This window comes from Homo sapiens, chromosome 11 (assembly GCF_000001405.40).
Source record: "Homo sapiens chromosome 11, GRCh38.p14 Primary Assembly".
In the NCBI taxonomy this organism is placed as follows: domain Eukaryota; kingdom Metazoa; phylum Chordata; class Mammalia; order Primates; family Hominidae; genus Homo; species Homo sapiens.
Window position 1 is genome coordinate 66,510,635 of NC_000011.10, and position 15,965 is coordinate 66,526,599.

The 15,965-nt window shown below is 48.1% G+C and overlaps 2 protein-coding genes across 8 annotated transcripts in view; one reads left to right on the top strand and one right to left on the bottom strand.

The window, feature by feature from the left end:
• BBS1 (Bardet-Biedl syndrome 1) overlaps positions 1-15,965 on the top strand; it is a 22,964-nt gene continuing 6,999 nt past the window's right edge. The window contains exons 1-12 of the mRNA NM_024649.5: positions 1-72; positions 379-455; positions 571-605; positions 3,772-4,044; positions 4,906-4,952; positions 5,059-5,097; positions 5,227-5,299; positions 8,983-9,114; positions 10,636-10,742; positions 12,822-12,942; positions 13,090-13,248; positions 15,489-15,558. Coding sequence (NP_078925.3) covers positions 26-72; positions 379-455; positions 571-605; positions 3,772-4,044; positions 4,906-4,952; positions 5,059-5,097; positions 5,227-5,299; positions 8,983-9,114; positions 10,636-10,742; positions 12,822-12,942; positions 13,090-13,248; positions 15,489-15,558 — 1,180 coding nt within the window. The 5' untranslated portion in view covers positions 1-25. The remainder of the gene's footprint in view (positions 73-378; positions 456-570; positions 606-3,771; positions 4,045-4,905; positions 4,953-5,058; positions 5,098-5,226; positions 5,300-8,982; positions 9,115-10,635; positions 10,743-12,821; positions 12,943-13,089; positions 13,249-15,488; positions 15,559-15,965) is intronic.
• Positions 9,991-15,965, bottom strand: part of ZDHHC24 (zDHHC palmitoyltransferase 24) — a 25,424-nt gene continuing 19,449 nt past the window's right edge. For 2 of the 7 annotated variants that reach the window (XR_007062470.1, XM_005273874.5), the window contains one exon: positions 10,745-10,832. Coding sequence is in view for 1 of the 7 variants with exons in the window: in XM_047426710.1 (XP_047282666.1) it covers positions 13,614-13,642 (29 nt within the window). In the remaining 6 variants the exon portion in view is untranslated. Of the gene's footprint in view, positions 10,833-13,520; positions 13,643-14,916; positions 14,927-15,965 lie in introns of those variants that run through there. The other 5 variants (XR_949860.4, NM_001348571.2, XR_007062471.1 and 2 more) reach the window with 5 other exon arrangements.

Genomic DNA, 15,965 nt, shown 5'->3' on the forward strand with positions numbered 1-15,965 from the left:
GGTTGCCAGGACGACGCCTGCGAAGATGGCCGCTGCGTCCTCATCGGATTCCGACGCCTGCGGAGCTGAGAGGTGAAGGCAGGGCTCCTCAAGGCCTCTTTTCCCACCCGTGTAAAGAGGGTCCCTTGGTCCCCGGGCTCTGGGCTCCTGCTGTTCTCGGGCAGTCTGGAAGGACTCTTAAGAGGTCAGATAGGGAAACCGAGGCCTAAGATGTGCATATGTGTGTCTGGAGGTCGCTCGGTGAGCCAGTGGCGGAGCCTGGACTTGTACCCAGACGTTCTGTACCTTATGTTCAGAGTGACCTGTACCAGCTTCCTCAAAGTTTTTTTTTCCCCTCCCATGGGACTCACTCCCCAACTGTCTTTCCCCCACTTCCAGCAATGAGGCCAATTCGAAGTGGTTGGATGCGCACTACGACCCAATGGCCAATATCCACACCTTTTCTGCCTGCCTAGGTGAGTCTCTGGAACCAGGAACCCTGGGTTCTAGTGGGATGGGGAGTCAGACAATGGTCCTGTAGTGAAGCCTCTGGGATTCTGAGACTCTGGTTTTGGCCCTTTTGTTTTCCAGCGCTGGCAGATTTACATGGGGATGGGGAATACAAGGTAAGCATATCACCCTAGCCAGGAGAGTTGAGGGTAGGGGGGTGTACCCAGAAATGAGATTTCCTGACGGCTGAAAATAGGCCCAGCATACTCTGGAATTCACATATACTGTGAAAAAGCACATTTAGCGTTAAATTTTGTTTTTATATGGAAAGTGAAGAGAACTTATTGATTTCATAATACAGACTGCAGAAAGTAAAGCAGATCAAATATTTCTGGGGATTCTACTAAGACAAAGCCTCTTAGTTAACCTGATTTCTTTGTTGGAAGGGCAAATCCCTTGGTTGGGGGTGGGCACTAGAATCTGGAGGGAAAGTAAAAAGGAGGGAAGTGAACGTTTGATGTTTATCAAAAGATTTTAAGATGGGCCATGAGCTGTCAATTTTTGAAGCTGGATAATGGGATATATGGGGACTCATTATATGAGTCTCTCTACTTTTGTATGTGAATGAAAATTTTCCATAGTAAAAATGTTACATTTTAAATTTAATTTTAAGGCCAGCAATCCCAGCACTTTGGGAGGCTGAGGTGGGTGGATCGCTTGAGCTTAGGCATTCGAGACCAGCCTGTCCAACATGGTGAAACACCATCTCTACTAAAAATACAAAAATTAGCCGGGCATGGTGATGGGCACCTGTAATCCCAGCTACTTGGGAGGCTGAGGCAGGAGAATTGGTCAAACCCAGGAGGCGGAGGTTGAGTGAGCTGAGACCATGCCACTACACTCCAGCCTGGATGACAGAGTGAGACAGTTTCAAAAAAAAATATATATATATATATGTGTATATATATGTATATATATGTATATATATGTGTATATATATGTATATATATATACATATATTTAATTTTAAATAAAAATGTAAATTTAAAAAGATACAAGTTTTTTAAAGGTAGAGAAATATATTGGGATAAAAGAAAGGAAGTTAGCATGGATTCAGTATCCATTTCTGGACTAGACATTCCATGGAGGCACATAAACATGGATTTTATTTATTCCCATTTTGTGAATGGGAAAATAGTTTCAAAGAGGTGAAGTTTACTGAATTTGTAACTGGGTCTGTTTGATTCCAAGTTTTGTGCTTTTTCTACCAAAGCTCAGCCCTCACCATGGGCAACAACACCACAATGGATATATCATGTGGGTGGCTAGAAGATAGTCCTGGAATCCCACCCCACACAGAGAGTGCAATAGGACTCAGTGGTTTTTGCCCCCAAATTCCTATCCATAATGTATTCAGTAATTCAGCAAGTGTATAGTGAGTCCCTACTGTGTGTCAGGCATCATGGGGACACTACACTCAGAAATGCATCAGCATGTGGTCAGGAGGAGATACACTGTCGACAATTATTCCATGATATTGATTGAATACCTAGTTTGTATTTGGCTCTGGGCTTACAATAGTGAGGGAAGAGAAACCACAGACACAGTAGCTAATAAGAAATGTTAGCCAGGCACAGTGGCTCATGCCTGTAATCCCAGCACTTTAGGAGGAGGCCAAGGCGGGTGGATCACGAGGTCAGGAGTTTGAGACCAGCCTGGACAACATGGTGAAACCCTGTCTGTACTAAAAATACAAAAATCAGCCGGGCGTGGTGGCAGGCGCCTGTAATCCCAGCTACTCGGGAGGCTGAGGCAGGAGAATGGCTTGAAACCAGAAGGCGGAGGTTGCAGTGAGCCGAAATCACGCCATCGCACTTCAGCCTGGGTGACAGAGCGAGACTCCATCTCAAAAAAAAAAAGAAATGTTAAATATCTTCACATAATAGAATGTTTAATGGCTAGTTTATTCACCATTGAGTCCCAGCATCTAGTCCAGTACCTGACATAAAGTAGGTACTTGATAAATATTTGTGGGGAAGTGAGTAGATGCTAAAATTGAACATGTAGAAAGTATTACGGGAGCGCCAACGAGAACAATGGATTCTGTCTGGAGGCACCAGGAGGTAGTAATGTGTGAACTGGGCATTGAAGGATGAATGAAGTCTATCAAGAAGTCAAGGATGAGAGGATGGGGAAGGCATTTCAGGTAGAAGAAACAGCACAAGCAGAAGGACAGAGACTTAGAAGTTCATAGCATATTTGGAAAGAATAAATGTGAAGTTAGAAAGTTGAGACCCATATAAAATAACTACCACATAAAATAGTAGTTAAGACTATGGCTTTGGATTCAGACAGAACTAGCTCTACCACTTAATAGCTGTATGACTTTTACTTAACTTCTCTAAGACACAGCTTCCTCATTTGAGAAATGAGGCTAATAATGGTGCCTACTTCATAAGGTTGTTGAAAGCCAGGTGTAGTGGCACACACCTGTAGTCCTAGCTGCTTGGGAGGCTAAGGTGGGAAGACTGCTTAAGCCCAGGAGTTTGAGGCTGCAGCGAGCCATGATCGCACCACTGCACTCCAGCCTAGGTGACAGAGCAAGACCCAGTCGCTTAAAAATAATAAGACTGTTGAGAGGGTTAAATGAAACGATGCATGCAGTTTCTGATGTGGTCCCTGGCATATACTGCATGCTCAGTATCCAGGAGTTCTTGGGTACCCCCTTTCTGGCCGGAGCACAGCAATGGGAAGGGTGATAGGAAACAAGTTGGGAACTAGATCAGAGAGGCCTTCCAGGCCTCATTCAGGGAAATGGGCTTGTGTGGCAGCTCCAGCAGCTTGGAAGATGGATTAGAGGGTGGAAAGCTGAGATCAAGGAGCTTGTTTCCCCTCTGTGTGTCCACAGAGCACATCCTGCCCTGCATTTGGAAACCAGGCTTCAGCAGCCCAGATATGGGTGTCCCCGTCCCCTCCCACACTGACCTCTACCACTGTCCCAGTATCTCTCTAGAAGTGCCTGGTGTGGAAGAAATGTTTGCTGAATGAATAATAAAAACATCAACTGCCACTTATTCCTCAGTAGCACTTACCAGGTTCTGTAACTCATTATCTCACTTGATTTTCACCACATACCATGAAAGTATCACCATTCTGCAAGCGGGAAACCTGAGATTCAGAAAGGTTAGTCAACTTTCCCAAGGTCAGGCAGCTTGAAAGCCTGAGGGCAAAGCCTTTATTGGTGCAGGAATGAATGAATGTGCACCAGCAATAAGGCAAGAAGAGGGTCAGTGGAGAGGTCTTCAGACCCTGAGCCTAGAATGAGCCATCCTCTCCCTGCAGCTGGTGGTAGGGGACCTTGGCCCTGGTGGGCAGCAGCCCCGCCTGAAGGTGCTCAAAGGACCACTGGTGATGACCGAAAGCCCGCTACCTGCTCTGCCAGCTGCTGCTGCCACCTTCCTCATGGAGCAACATGAGCCCCGGACCCCAGCTCTGGCACTTGCTTCAGGCCCTTGTGTCTATGTGTATAAGAATCTCAGACCCTACTTCAAGTTCAGCCTGCCCCAATTGCCTCCAAATCCTCTGGAACAAGACCTTTGGAACCAGGCCAAAGAGGTAAATAAATAACATGGGAGTTGGGAACCAGAAGGCAAAGATGGCAGCCACTGGGTGAAGAGGGCTGGGCTCCTGGGAAGAACGTGGGCTGGTGGCAGGAGGTCAGCTATAGTCCATCTCTGACAGCAGCAGTGATGGCACTTTTTTTTTTTTTGAGACGGAGTTTCACTCTTGTTGCCCAGACTGGAGTGCAATGACGTGATCTTGGTTCACTGCAGCCTCTGGCTCCCGGGTTAAAGCAATTCTTCTGTCTCATCCTCCTGAGTAGCTGGGATTGCAGGCACCAGCAACCACGCCTGGCGAATTTTTTGTATGTGTTAGTAGAGACAAGGTTTTACTATGTTGGCCAGGCTGGTCTTGAACTCCTGGCCTCATATGATCTACCCACCTCGGCCTCCCAAAGTGTTGGGATTACAGGCATGAACCACCGTGCCCAGCCTAGTGATGGCACTTCTGGACAAGGTGTTGTGCTTGGCTACTCAGCATGGCTCCCAGAGAGGCACTGAGCCAGTTCTCTTGGAGAGTGGAACCCAGAAAATTTCTCTGCACTAGCCACATCCCTGCCCAAATTTGAGGAAGATGAAACCAAAGAAGGTAGGGGCCTGTCAGAGAAGAAGGAGGACTGGAAACACCAAGAGAGGAGGGGAATTTGGGGAGGCATGGATTTGGGGAGGGATGATGTACATGGCCATGAGACTGGATTCAGATAAAGGACGTGAGCTTGGTGCTCAGTGCAGAGGTAGGCTGGCAGGGAGGCAGAGACCAAGAGGTACCCCTAGAAGTGTGGAGCTGTCTGGGGGTGTAGACATTGGGTTTCCTGCCTGGCTTGAGCTCACAGGCTCTCTTCCCACATTGTCACAGGACCGAATCGACCCCTTAACCCTGAAGGAGATGCTGGAGAGCATCCGGTGAGAGGCTGCCTTCCCCTTCATACCCCCCTCACTCCTTCATCCCATCTGAGCCCCAGGGCCCCATTCTTCCATTCGGCTGCCATGCTGGCCCCTTTCCTTGCAGGGAGACGGCAGAGGAGCCTTTGTCCATCCAGTCACTCAGGTAAGGACCCTGTGGAGGGCCAGGGTTTGGGAGGCTCCAGGGAGAGGAAGCAGCCGCCAGAATGTGCCAGAATGATGGAGGAGGGCAGCGAGGCCGGGGCCTGCAGATGCCAGTTCTCTGTGTGTCTAGGTTTCTGCAGCTGGAGCTAAGTGAAATGGAGGCATTTGTAAACCAACACAAGTCCAACTCCATCAAGCGGCAGGTAATACCCCCTTCTCTTTTTATTTCCCTGTAAAAAAATTTACATTTTTTTAAAAGACCACTTAACATCAGTGGTAAATTCTATAAGCAAACCCAACCAGTATCTCTTTGCTATATCCCTTCCAGCCATGCCATGTGTGTGTAGTCATAAAGCTGCAGTGACTTCCACATTCCAGTTAGTAGTGACAGCTTTTTTTTTTTTTTTTTTTTTTTGAGACAGTCTTGCTCTGTCACCCAGGCTGGAGTACAGTGGCACAATCTCAGCTCACTACAACCTCTGTTTCCTGGGTTCAAGCGATTCTCCTGCCTCAGCCTCCCAAGTAGCTGGGATTATAGGCATGCACCAACACACCCAGCTAATTTTTGTATTTTTAGTAGAGACGGGGTTTCACCATGTTGTCCAGGCTGGTCTCGAACTCCTGACCTCAGGTGATCCGCCTACCTTGACCTCCCAAAGTGCTCAGATTACAGGTGTGAGCCATCGTGCCATGCCAACCACTCACATTTTTGAGTTATCATTAACATTTGGGATGGGAATAGTTACCACTAATATTTGTCCACATTTTTGTAAGCTTTCGCCTTCCATTAGGCACTGAAAATCATTCCTCTTTTTTAATCTCTTTTGGGGAAGGGTAGGGAGCTGGGTCTTCCTCCGTCACCCAGGCTGGAGTGCAGTGGTGTGATCGTGGCTCACTACAGCCTCAAACTACTGGATTCAAGTGATCCTCCCCCTTCAACCTCCTGAGTAGTTGGGACTACAAGTGCATGCCACCATGCCCAGCTAATTTTTTTATTTTTATTTTTTGTAGAGATGGAGTCTCACTATGTTGCCCAGGCTAGTCTTGAACTCCTGAACTCAAGCAGTCCTCCTACCTCAGCCTCCCAAAGTGGTGCTATTACAGGAATGAGCTGCTGTGCCCAGCTGTCTTTTTCAATCTTGATGATAATCACACAATGAGCACCTTTATCTAAAGAAAAACATCTTGGCCGGGCGCGGTGGCTCACGCCTGTAATCCCAGCATTTTGGGAGGCTGAGACGGGCAGATCACGAGGTCAGGAGATCGAGACCATCCTGGCTAACATGGTGAAACCCTGTCTCTACTAAAAATACAAAAAATTAGCCGGGCATGGTAGCGGTCGCCTGTACTCCCAGCTACTCAGGAGGTTGAGGCAGGGGAATGGCGTTAACCCGGGAGGCGGAGCTTGCAGTGAGCCGAGATTGCGCCACTGCACTCCAGCCTTGGTGACAGAGCAAGACTCTATCTCAAAAAAAAAAACCAAAAAACAAAAAAAAAAAGAAAAACATTTTGCTTCTGCTAATTTCTGTAGGAGAAATTCCTTACAAGGGGATCTTTTTTGTTTTCCCTCCAATTATAATTACAAAAGAAACATGTGCCCACTGTAGAAACGATAGGCATCATGAGGAATTAAACATCACTTGTGATATCATTGTCTAACAATAACTAGTGTTTGTTTAAGGGTTTAGCCTTCCACATGTTTTTGCATTCATGTATTTTTTATTTTGAAATTTTTGTCCTTTTTTTTTTTTTTTTGGAGACAGAGTCTGGCTCTGTCGCCAGGCTGGAGTGCAGTGGTGTGATCTCAGCTCACTGCAACCTCCACCTCCTGGGTTCAAGCTATTCTCCTGCCTCAGCCTCCCAAGTAGCTGAGACTACAGGCGCACACCACCACGCCCAGCTAATTTTTGTATTTTTAGTAGAGATGGTGTTTCACCATGCTGGCCAGGATGGTCTCGATCTCTTGACCTCGTGATCTGCCTGCCTCAGCCTCCCAAAATGCTGGGATTACAGGTGTGAGCCACCACGCCCATCTTATTTATTTATTTATTTTTTTAAGAGATGGGGTCTCACCATGTTGCCCAGACTGGTCTCAAACTCCTGATCTAAAGTGATCCTCCCACCTGGGCCTCCCAAAGTGCTGGGATTACAGGCATGAGCCACCTTATTTAGCCTATATTCATATATTTTTAAAACTAGGATTATACTAACGTCACTTTTTTTTTTCTTTTCTTTTTTTTTTTTGAGATGGAGTTTTGCTCTTGTTGCCCAGGCTGGAGTGCAATGGCGCAATCTCAGCTCATCGCAACCTCCGCCTCCTGGGTTCAAGCGATTCTCCTGCCGCAGCCTCCCGAGTAGATGGGATTACAGGGATGTGCCACCACGCCCGGCTAATTTTGTATTTTTAGTAGGGACAGGGTTTCTCCCTGTTGGTCAGGCTGGTCTCGAACTCCCAACCTCACGTGATCCACCCACCTCGGCCTCCCAAAGTGCTGGGATTACAGGCGTGAACCACCGCATCCGGCCTTTTCTTTTATTTATTTTTGAAACGGAGTCTCGCTCTGTCACCCAGGCTGGAGTGCAATGGCATGATCTCAGCTCACTGCAACCTCCATTTCCCAGGTCCAAGCAATTCTCCTGCCTCAGCCTCACAAGTAGCTGGGATTACAGGCACCCGCCATCATGCCTGGGCTAATGGTTGTATTTCTGTACAGATGAGGTTTCTTTTTTTTTTTTTTTTCTTTTCTTTCTTTGAGATGGAGTCTTGCTCTGTCACCCAGGCTGGAGTACAGTGGTGCAATCTTGGCTCACTGCAGCCTCTGCTTCCCGGGTTCCAGCGATTCTCCTGCCTCAGCCTCCTGGGTAGCTGGGATTACAGGTGCATGCCACCATGCCTGGCTAATTTTCATATTTTTTGGTAGAGATGGGGTTTCACCATTTTGGCCAGGCTGGTCTTAAACTTCTGACCACTTCAGCCTCCCAGAGTGCTGGGCTTACAGGTGTGAGCCACCACGCCCAGCCCTTTTCTTTTTTTTTTTTTTTTTTAAGACAGGGTCTTACTCTGTCAGTCAGGCTGGAATGCAGTGGCAGGATCATAGCTCACTGGAGCATTGAACTCCTGGGATCAAGGGATCCTCCTGCCTCAGCCTCCTGAGTACCTGGGACTACAGATGCATGCCATCGCACCTGGCTGATTTTTTATTTTTATTTTTTGTAGAGTTGGGGTCTCACTTTGCTGCCCAAGCTGGTCTTGGACTCCTGGGCTCATGCAGTCCACCTGCCTTGGTCCCCAAAAGTGCTGGGATTACAGGCATGATCTGCTGAGCCTGGCCCAAATATTCTTTTTAAATATGACTTTTAAGAAATGACTGCAGCCGGGCATGGTGGCTCATGCATGTAATCCCAGCACTTTAGGGGGCTGAGGCGGGTGGATCACAGGTCAGGAGTTCAAGACCAACCTGGGCAACATGGTGAAACTAAAAATACAAAAAGTAGCTGGGCACGGTGGCGTGCGCCTGTAATCCCAGCTAGTTGGGAGGCTAAGGCAGGAGAATTGCTTGAACCTGCGAGGCAGAGGTTGCAGTGAGCCGAGATTGTACCACTGCACTCCTGCCTGGGCGACAGAGCGAGAACCTGTCTCAAGAAAAAAAAAAGACTGCATAGTTTTTGATCATATGGATGGCTCATAATTGACTTAGACAATCCTCTTTTGTTAGAAAGTTAGATTTGTTGCAATAAACACCTTTGTACTTAAATCTTCTGTCACATCTCTGATATTTCCTCTTCATCCTCCTTTGCCCTCTTTCTTCCCTCATGTGGCATTCTGGGAGTATCTTGGGGGTGGTGTGTGGAGGTTCCCTGGGTGACCCCTGGAGTCCTTCTGTAGACAGTCATCACCACCATGACCACCTTGAAGAAGAACCTGGCTGACGAGGATGCTGTGTCTTGCCTGGTGCTGGGCACCGAGAACAAGGAGCTCCTGGTGCTTGACCCCGAGGCCTTCACCATTTTAGCCAAGGTCAGCGTCAGGTCTGGCCCTGGGCCCGCTGGAGGCCCAGGCTGCATTCTCTCCCCATGCTCCACAGTTAGTTCTGGGTAATATATATGTTCCTTGTAGAAAAATTAGAAACTAGATAAGCATTAAAAAAGATATATATCCAAAAATCCTACCGCCTATGGATGTATACTGTTAAAGTTGAGGCATAGGTCTCTCTAGACATTTTCATATTTAGACATAGATATATAACTTTATGTAAATATTTCTCTTTATAAAAACAGGATTAGCTGGGTGTGGTGGCCCATGCCTCTAACCCTAGTGCTTTGGGAGGCCGAGGCAGGAGGATGGCTTGAGCCCAAGAGTTTCAGGCTGCAGTGAGCTATGATTGTGGCACTGCACTCCAGCCTGGGCGACAGAGTGAGACCCTGTCTCTAAAAACAATAAGTAAATAAATAAATAAAAGCAGGAGGATCATGTAACATGTTCTTTTCATGTAGCAGTATATCATCAGTGTCTTTCTATATCTATAAAACCACATCAGCCTTTTATTTTCTTTTGTTTTGTTTTTTGTTTTTGAGGCAGAATCTTGCTGTGTCACCCAGGCTGGAGTACAGTGGCTCTATCTCAGCTCACTGCAGCTTCTACCTCCCGGGTTCAAGCAGTTCTCATGCCTCAGCCACCTGAGTAGCTGGGACTGCAGGCATGTACCACCACACCCAGCTAATTTTTGTATTTTTAGTAGAGATGGGGTATCACCCTGTTGGCCAGGCTGGTCTCAAATTCCTTACCTCAAGTGATCTCTGCATCTCAGCCTCCCAAAGTGCTGGGATTACAGGCGTGAGCCACCACGCCTGACCCCACATCAGCCTTTTTAAAGACCACGCAATATCCATCATATTGAGGTACCATAATTTATTTACCCTGTCACCTATTGTACATTTAAACTGTTTTTCATTTTTTGCTATTAATACCAATGCTATAGACCTTTTTACCCAAATATCCTTGCATGCTTGTTTGTTTGTTTTTGAGACAATCTTGTTCTCTTGCCCAGGCTGAAGTGCAGTGGTACAATCTCAGCTTACTGCAACCTATGCCACCTGGGCTCAAACAGTCCTCTCACCTCATCTTCTCATCTGTGGGACCACCACGCCCAGCTAAGTTTTGTACTTTTGGTAGAGACAAAGTTTTGCCATGTTGGACAGGCTGGTCTTGAACTCCTGAGCTCAAGCGATCCACCCGCCTCAGCCTCTCAAAGTGTTGGGATTACAGGTGTGGGCCACCACACCCAGCTGCACGGTTGTTTAAGTACATCCTTAGGATGCAGTCCTAGAAGTGGCATCGTTTAGTCAAAAGGCACAGACTAAAAGGCTTTTGCTAAATGTTGCCCCAAGTTTCCCTCCTGAAAAACTGTATGAGTTTAAACTGGGTGTAAGTGAGGAGATTGGGACTTTAGACCAGGCACTCACTCAGAGGAGTTACTGACAGGGCAGGGAGGGACGGGGGCTCCAGAGAAATTGGAGTGTTTGCGCTTCTTGTTTGCAGATGAGCCTTCCCAGCGTCCCCGTCTTCCTAGAGGTTTCTGGCCAGTTTGATGTTGAGTTCCGGCTTGCCGCGGCCTGCCGCAATGGAAACATCTATATTCTGAGAAGGTAGCCACATCCGTGGTCTCCGGGGCCGGGAGGAACATCTCAGAAAACTGGTGGCTTCAGAGGCTTGCAAGATGAGAGTGGGCTTTAAGGCTGGAATTTGGAAATGCAAAGAGCTGAGAACTTCATAAAGGAGGCTGAGCCCACAAACACAGGGGAGGATACCTGGAGGCTTGTGAGATAGGGGCTGGCACAGTGAGAGACTAGGCTGGGTGGCTATAGTACAGGAGTGATCAGAAATGAGAGGACAGGCTGGGCGCTGTGGCTCACGCCTGTAATCCCAGCACTTTGGGAGGCCGAGGCAAGCGGATCACCTGAGGTCAGGAGTTCAAGACCAGCCTGGCCAACATGGTGAAACCCCGTCTCTACTAAAAATACAAAATTAGCTGGGCATGGTGGCGCATGCCTCTAGCCCCAGCTACTCGGGAGGCTAAGGTAGGAGAATCGCTTGAACCCAGGAGGCGGAGGTTGCAGTGAGCCAAGATCACACCACTGCACTCCAGCCTGGGTAACGGAGCGAGACTCCGTCTCAAAAAAAAAAAAAAAAAAAAAAAGCAGGGGGGTGCCGGGTGCATTGCCTCACGCCTGTAATCCCAGCACTTTGGAGGCCAACGTGGGTGGATCATGAGGTCAGGAGATCCAGACCATCCTGGCTAACACAGTGAAACCCCATCTCTACTAAAAATACAAAAAATTAGCTGGGCATGGTGGTGGGCGCCTGTAGTCCCAGCTACTCGGGAGGCTGAGGCAGGAGAATGGCGTGAACCTGGGAGGTGGAGCTTGCAGTGAGCCGAGATCACGCCACTGCCCTCCAGCCTGGGCACAGAGCGAGACTCTGTCTCAAAAAAAAAGAAAAGGAAACAGATGGGAAGAAATAAAAAAAAATTTCCCATATTTGTTACTTTCTAGGGTACATGACATGACACTTGTTTATGCATTAGTTTAATATTCCATATAAAATGCTTTTTTTTTTTTTTATTTTGTGAGACAGAGTCACAGAGTCTCACTCTGTCACCCAGGCTGGAGTGCAGTGGCACGATCTCGGCTTACTGCAACCTCTGCCTCCTGGGTTCAAGCGATTCTCCTGCCTCAGCCTCCCAAGTAGCTGGGACTACAGGTGCGTGCCACCACACCCAGCTAATTTTTGTATTTTTAGTAGAGACGGGGTTTCACCATATTGGCCAGGCTGGTCTCGAACGCCTGACCTTGTGATCCACCCTTCTCGGCCTCCCAAAGTGCCGGGATTACAGTCATAAGCCACCACACCCGGCCTAACATGCATTTTTTTAATTCAATAAATATTTATTGAGCACCTACTATGCATTATGCAGTGTGTGGTATTAGGGATATATTGATGAACAAGATAAATATGGTCCCTGTCCTCATGGCGAAGACAGATGTATTAAAGTGAAGAAACCAAGATGTTACTACAAATTGGATGAGTGCTATGGAGAAAAAATACAAGCTCAATGGGGAAAAATAACAGGTAAGGGTGATCAGGAACACCTCTCTGTGGAGATGGCTTGAAAGTTAAAAAGGAACCAGTTGGTGAGAAAGTCGGGAAGAGTGTTGTAGGCCAACTCAAAGTGGGAAAGACATTGGCGTGTGCTCCTCGAATAGAGAGGAACTAACTGTACTTTCTGGAAAGGGAAACTAAAATTGAGAGGCCAGTAAACTAAAAACTGCATTGACACAGGGCAAAGCTCTTCATCCTTTTCTCATAATAAAGTGCCTAAGTCCACTTGTCCTGGCTAGTCCAGCCAAAGGTAAACTCACTGAAAACTCTGTTAAATGCTAGATGATCATACAAGCCACCATAGTGAAGGTGGGCGGAAGACAAGACACCATAGTGAAGGTGGGAGGAAGACAAGACACCATAGTGAAGGTGGGAGGAAGACACACTTGATGTTTTCCAAGGCCACACATTTACTAAGGTGGCAGAAGTGGAAATAATCCCAGGGTCATCTGCTTTGGGGCCAGTGTTCCTCCCAGGTGAGTCCATGAGGTTTAGACAGAGGAGGGTCAGCCATAGAAGTGGAGAGGATTTCTCTGGGGCCAGACAGTGTGTTGTTTATTCCACAGAGACTCCAAGCACCCCAAGTACTGCATCGAGCTGAGCGCCCAGCCTGTGGGACTTATCCGGGTACACAAGGTCCTAGTGGTGGGCAGCACCCAAGACAGCCTGCATGGCTTCACCCACAAGGTGCAGCCCCCAGCAAGCAGCAGCCCCTCCACGCCTATGTCCCTAGCCCCCACTTGGCAAGAGAGTCCTCTGGCTTCCCCACCCCAGAAACCGTTCTTTCCACTGTAAGCCCTGAGCCCTCCACAGACGCTGGCTGTTCCCTGCCAGGGGAAGAAGCTGTGGACAGTGCAGATGCCCGCAGCCATCCTGACCATGAACCTCCTGGAGCAGCATTCCCGGGGCCTGCAGGCCGTCATGGCTGGGCTGGCCAATGGAGAGGTCCGCATTTATCGTGACAAGGCCCTGCTCAATGTCATCCACACCCCGGTGAGCCCCATCTCCGGCATCTGCCACTCACTCCTCCTTGCCCTCGTCTCACCTCTGGGGCTTCTTAGCTGCCTCTTCCGACCACACATTGATGCATTTCAAAAACATTTGTTGAGGCCAGGCACAGTGGCTCATGCCTGTAATCCCAGCACTTTGGGAGGCCAAGGTGGGCAGATCACCTGAGGTAAGGAGTTCAAAACCAGCCTAGCCAACATGGCATAACCCCCTTGCTACTAAAAATACAAAAATTAGCCGGGCATGGTGGTGCGTACCTGTAATCCCAGCTACTCAGGAGGTTGAGGTAGGAGAATCGCTTGAGCCTGGGAGGCGGAGGTTGCAGTGAGCCAAGATCAAACCATGGCACTTCAGCCTGGACAACAGAGCGAGACTCCATCTTAAAAAAAAAAAAAATGTGTTGAGCACCTCATATGTACCAGTCACCATATTGGTAGGGGTGGGGGGTAAAATGATGACTAAGTCCTTGTTTTCAGGAGGCTTACAGTCTAAGGTAACAGCCAGCCAGAGACATAGCAAATTTAAAAGGGCCGACTGAAGCAGAGCAAAGTGCTAAAAAGCGCAGAGGGTGCTGAGTGACAAGGGTGGGGGGTGAGATAAATGGGGATGGACTCCATGGGACACTTCACAGAACAAGTGACAGTTCAACTGGGCCTCAGAACAGTTTGTCAGGTGGACAAATGGAGGAAGAACATTCTGCACAGAGAATAGCATGCACAAAGCCTGAGAAGTATGAAGGCTCTTGATTAAGGAATCCAGGTCATTTGATGAGTTTGGACCAGAGGTTTTCAGACTCTAAGTTGTGAATCATTAAATCAGTTTAGTAGATCACAACCAGCAACATTTTTAAAAATAGAATAGTAAATTCAAAGTATGTCACAAGTGAGGGCCAGGCACATTGGCTCACACCTGTAATCCCAGCACTTTGGAAGGCTGAGGCAGGCGATCACAGTTCTGGAACAGCCTGGCCAACATGGTGAAACCCCATCTCTACTAAAAATAAACAAATTAGCCGGGTATGGGCCGGGCACGGTGGCTCACGTCTGTAATCCCAGCACTTTGGGAGGCCGAGGCAGGCAGATCACAAGGTCAGGAGATGGAGACCATCCTGGCTAACACGGTAAAACCCCGTCTCTACTAAAAATACAAAAAATTAGCCGGGCATGGTGGCAGGTGCCTGTAGTCCCAGCTACTCAGGAGGCTGAGGCAGGAGAATGGCGTGAACCTGGGAGGTGGAGCTTGCAGTGAGCCGAGATCGCACCACTGCACTCCAGCCTGGGTGACAGAGCGAGACTCCATCTCAAAAAAAAAAAAAAAGCCGGGTGTGATGGCACACCTGTAATCCCAGCTACTTGGGAGGCTGAGGCAGAAGAATCACTTGAACCTGGGAGGCAAAGGTTGCAGTGAACTGAGATCGCGCCACTGCACTCCAGCCTGGGCCACAGAGCAAGACTCTGTCTCAAAACAAAAAAACAAAACAACAAAAATAAATAAATAATTACAAATACAAATAGAAAAATTAGCCAAGCATGGTGGTGCATGCCTATAATCGCATCTACTGGGAAGGCCGAGGCAGAATCACTTGAACCCAGGAGGCAGAGGTTGCAGTGAGCTGGAGATCACACCACTGCACTCCAGCCTGGGCAATGAAGTGAGACTCCATCTCAAAAAAAAAGTATGTCACAAGTGAAACTGTGTATGTGTGTGTAAATTGTCCTGTGTCACAGTATAAAATTTGCAAACAACTGGCTTGGGCCATAGGTGCTGGGAGGGCCGGTGGTATGCTCGTTGAAAGAAGGGTAAAGAGGAGAGAACTGACAGAAAAGGCGGGTTGGAGTCAAATGTGGAAGGCCTTCAGTGTCCTAAGAAAGAGAACAAAAGCCATTGGAGGTTTTCTATCAGAGACCAGACATATTTGTGTTTTTGAAAGGTAGCAAAGGCAGCATTGTGAAGGGCAGACTGGGGAGAAAGACCCGAAAGACGAGTCTGGGAGATCTATTAGGAGGTTGACCCCAAAAGTGAGGGCCAGTGATATTTGGTCTGGAACTGAGGTAGTGAGATTGGAGGGGAGATGAGAAATATAGGAAATATTTCAGAGGCAGCGATTCCCCAGGCCTGTCTCTATCACTTCTCACCTATTATATCTGGGGCCTCCCCTACCCATCCCCTGTCTTGCTTTCCTCTCCAAGATATTTCCCCAACTAAACTCTGACGTCTCCACATAGGATGCAGTGACCAGCCTTTGCTTTGGCCGGTACGGGCGGGAGGACAACACCCTCATCATGACCACTCGAGGTGAGTGGAGTCAGACCTGGCAAGGGCTTTGAAGTCGGGAGTGAAGGGACAGGCCTGCTTCTGGGGAAAGAGGAGGAGGTGGAAATGAAGCATGGGTGGACCTGGGTGTGGAAAGTAAGGCCTACAGAAGTGTCCTTCTGGAGCTAGGCCTCCACTGGGACAGCCCAAGGGCTGGGTCCTGGGCTGGATTCGATCTTTCTAGTTCACCCAGCATCCCCAGTGCCTGCCACGATGCCAGGAACATCACAGTACTCCACAAATAACTGCTAAGTGGATTAATGAATTAATGATGAGAGACTATTAAGATGCACTTTGTTACTTCCAGAAACAGTCTCGTCTGGAAGACGGATGTGTACAGAAGCAACTCTATAGGAGGCAGATTGTTTGGGGAAGAAAGAATGGGAATG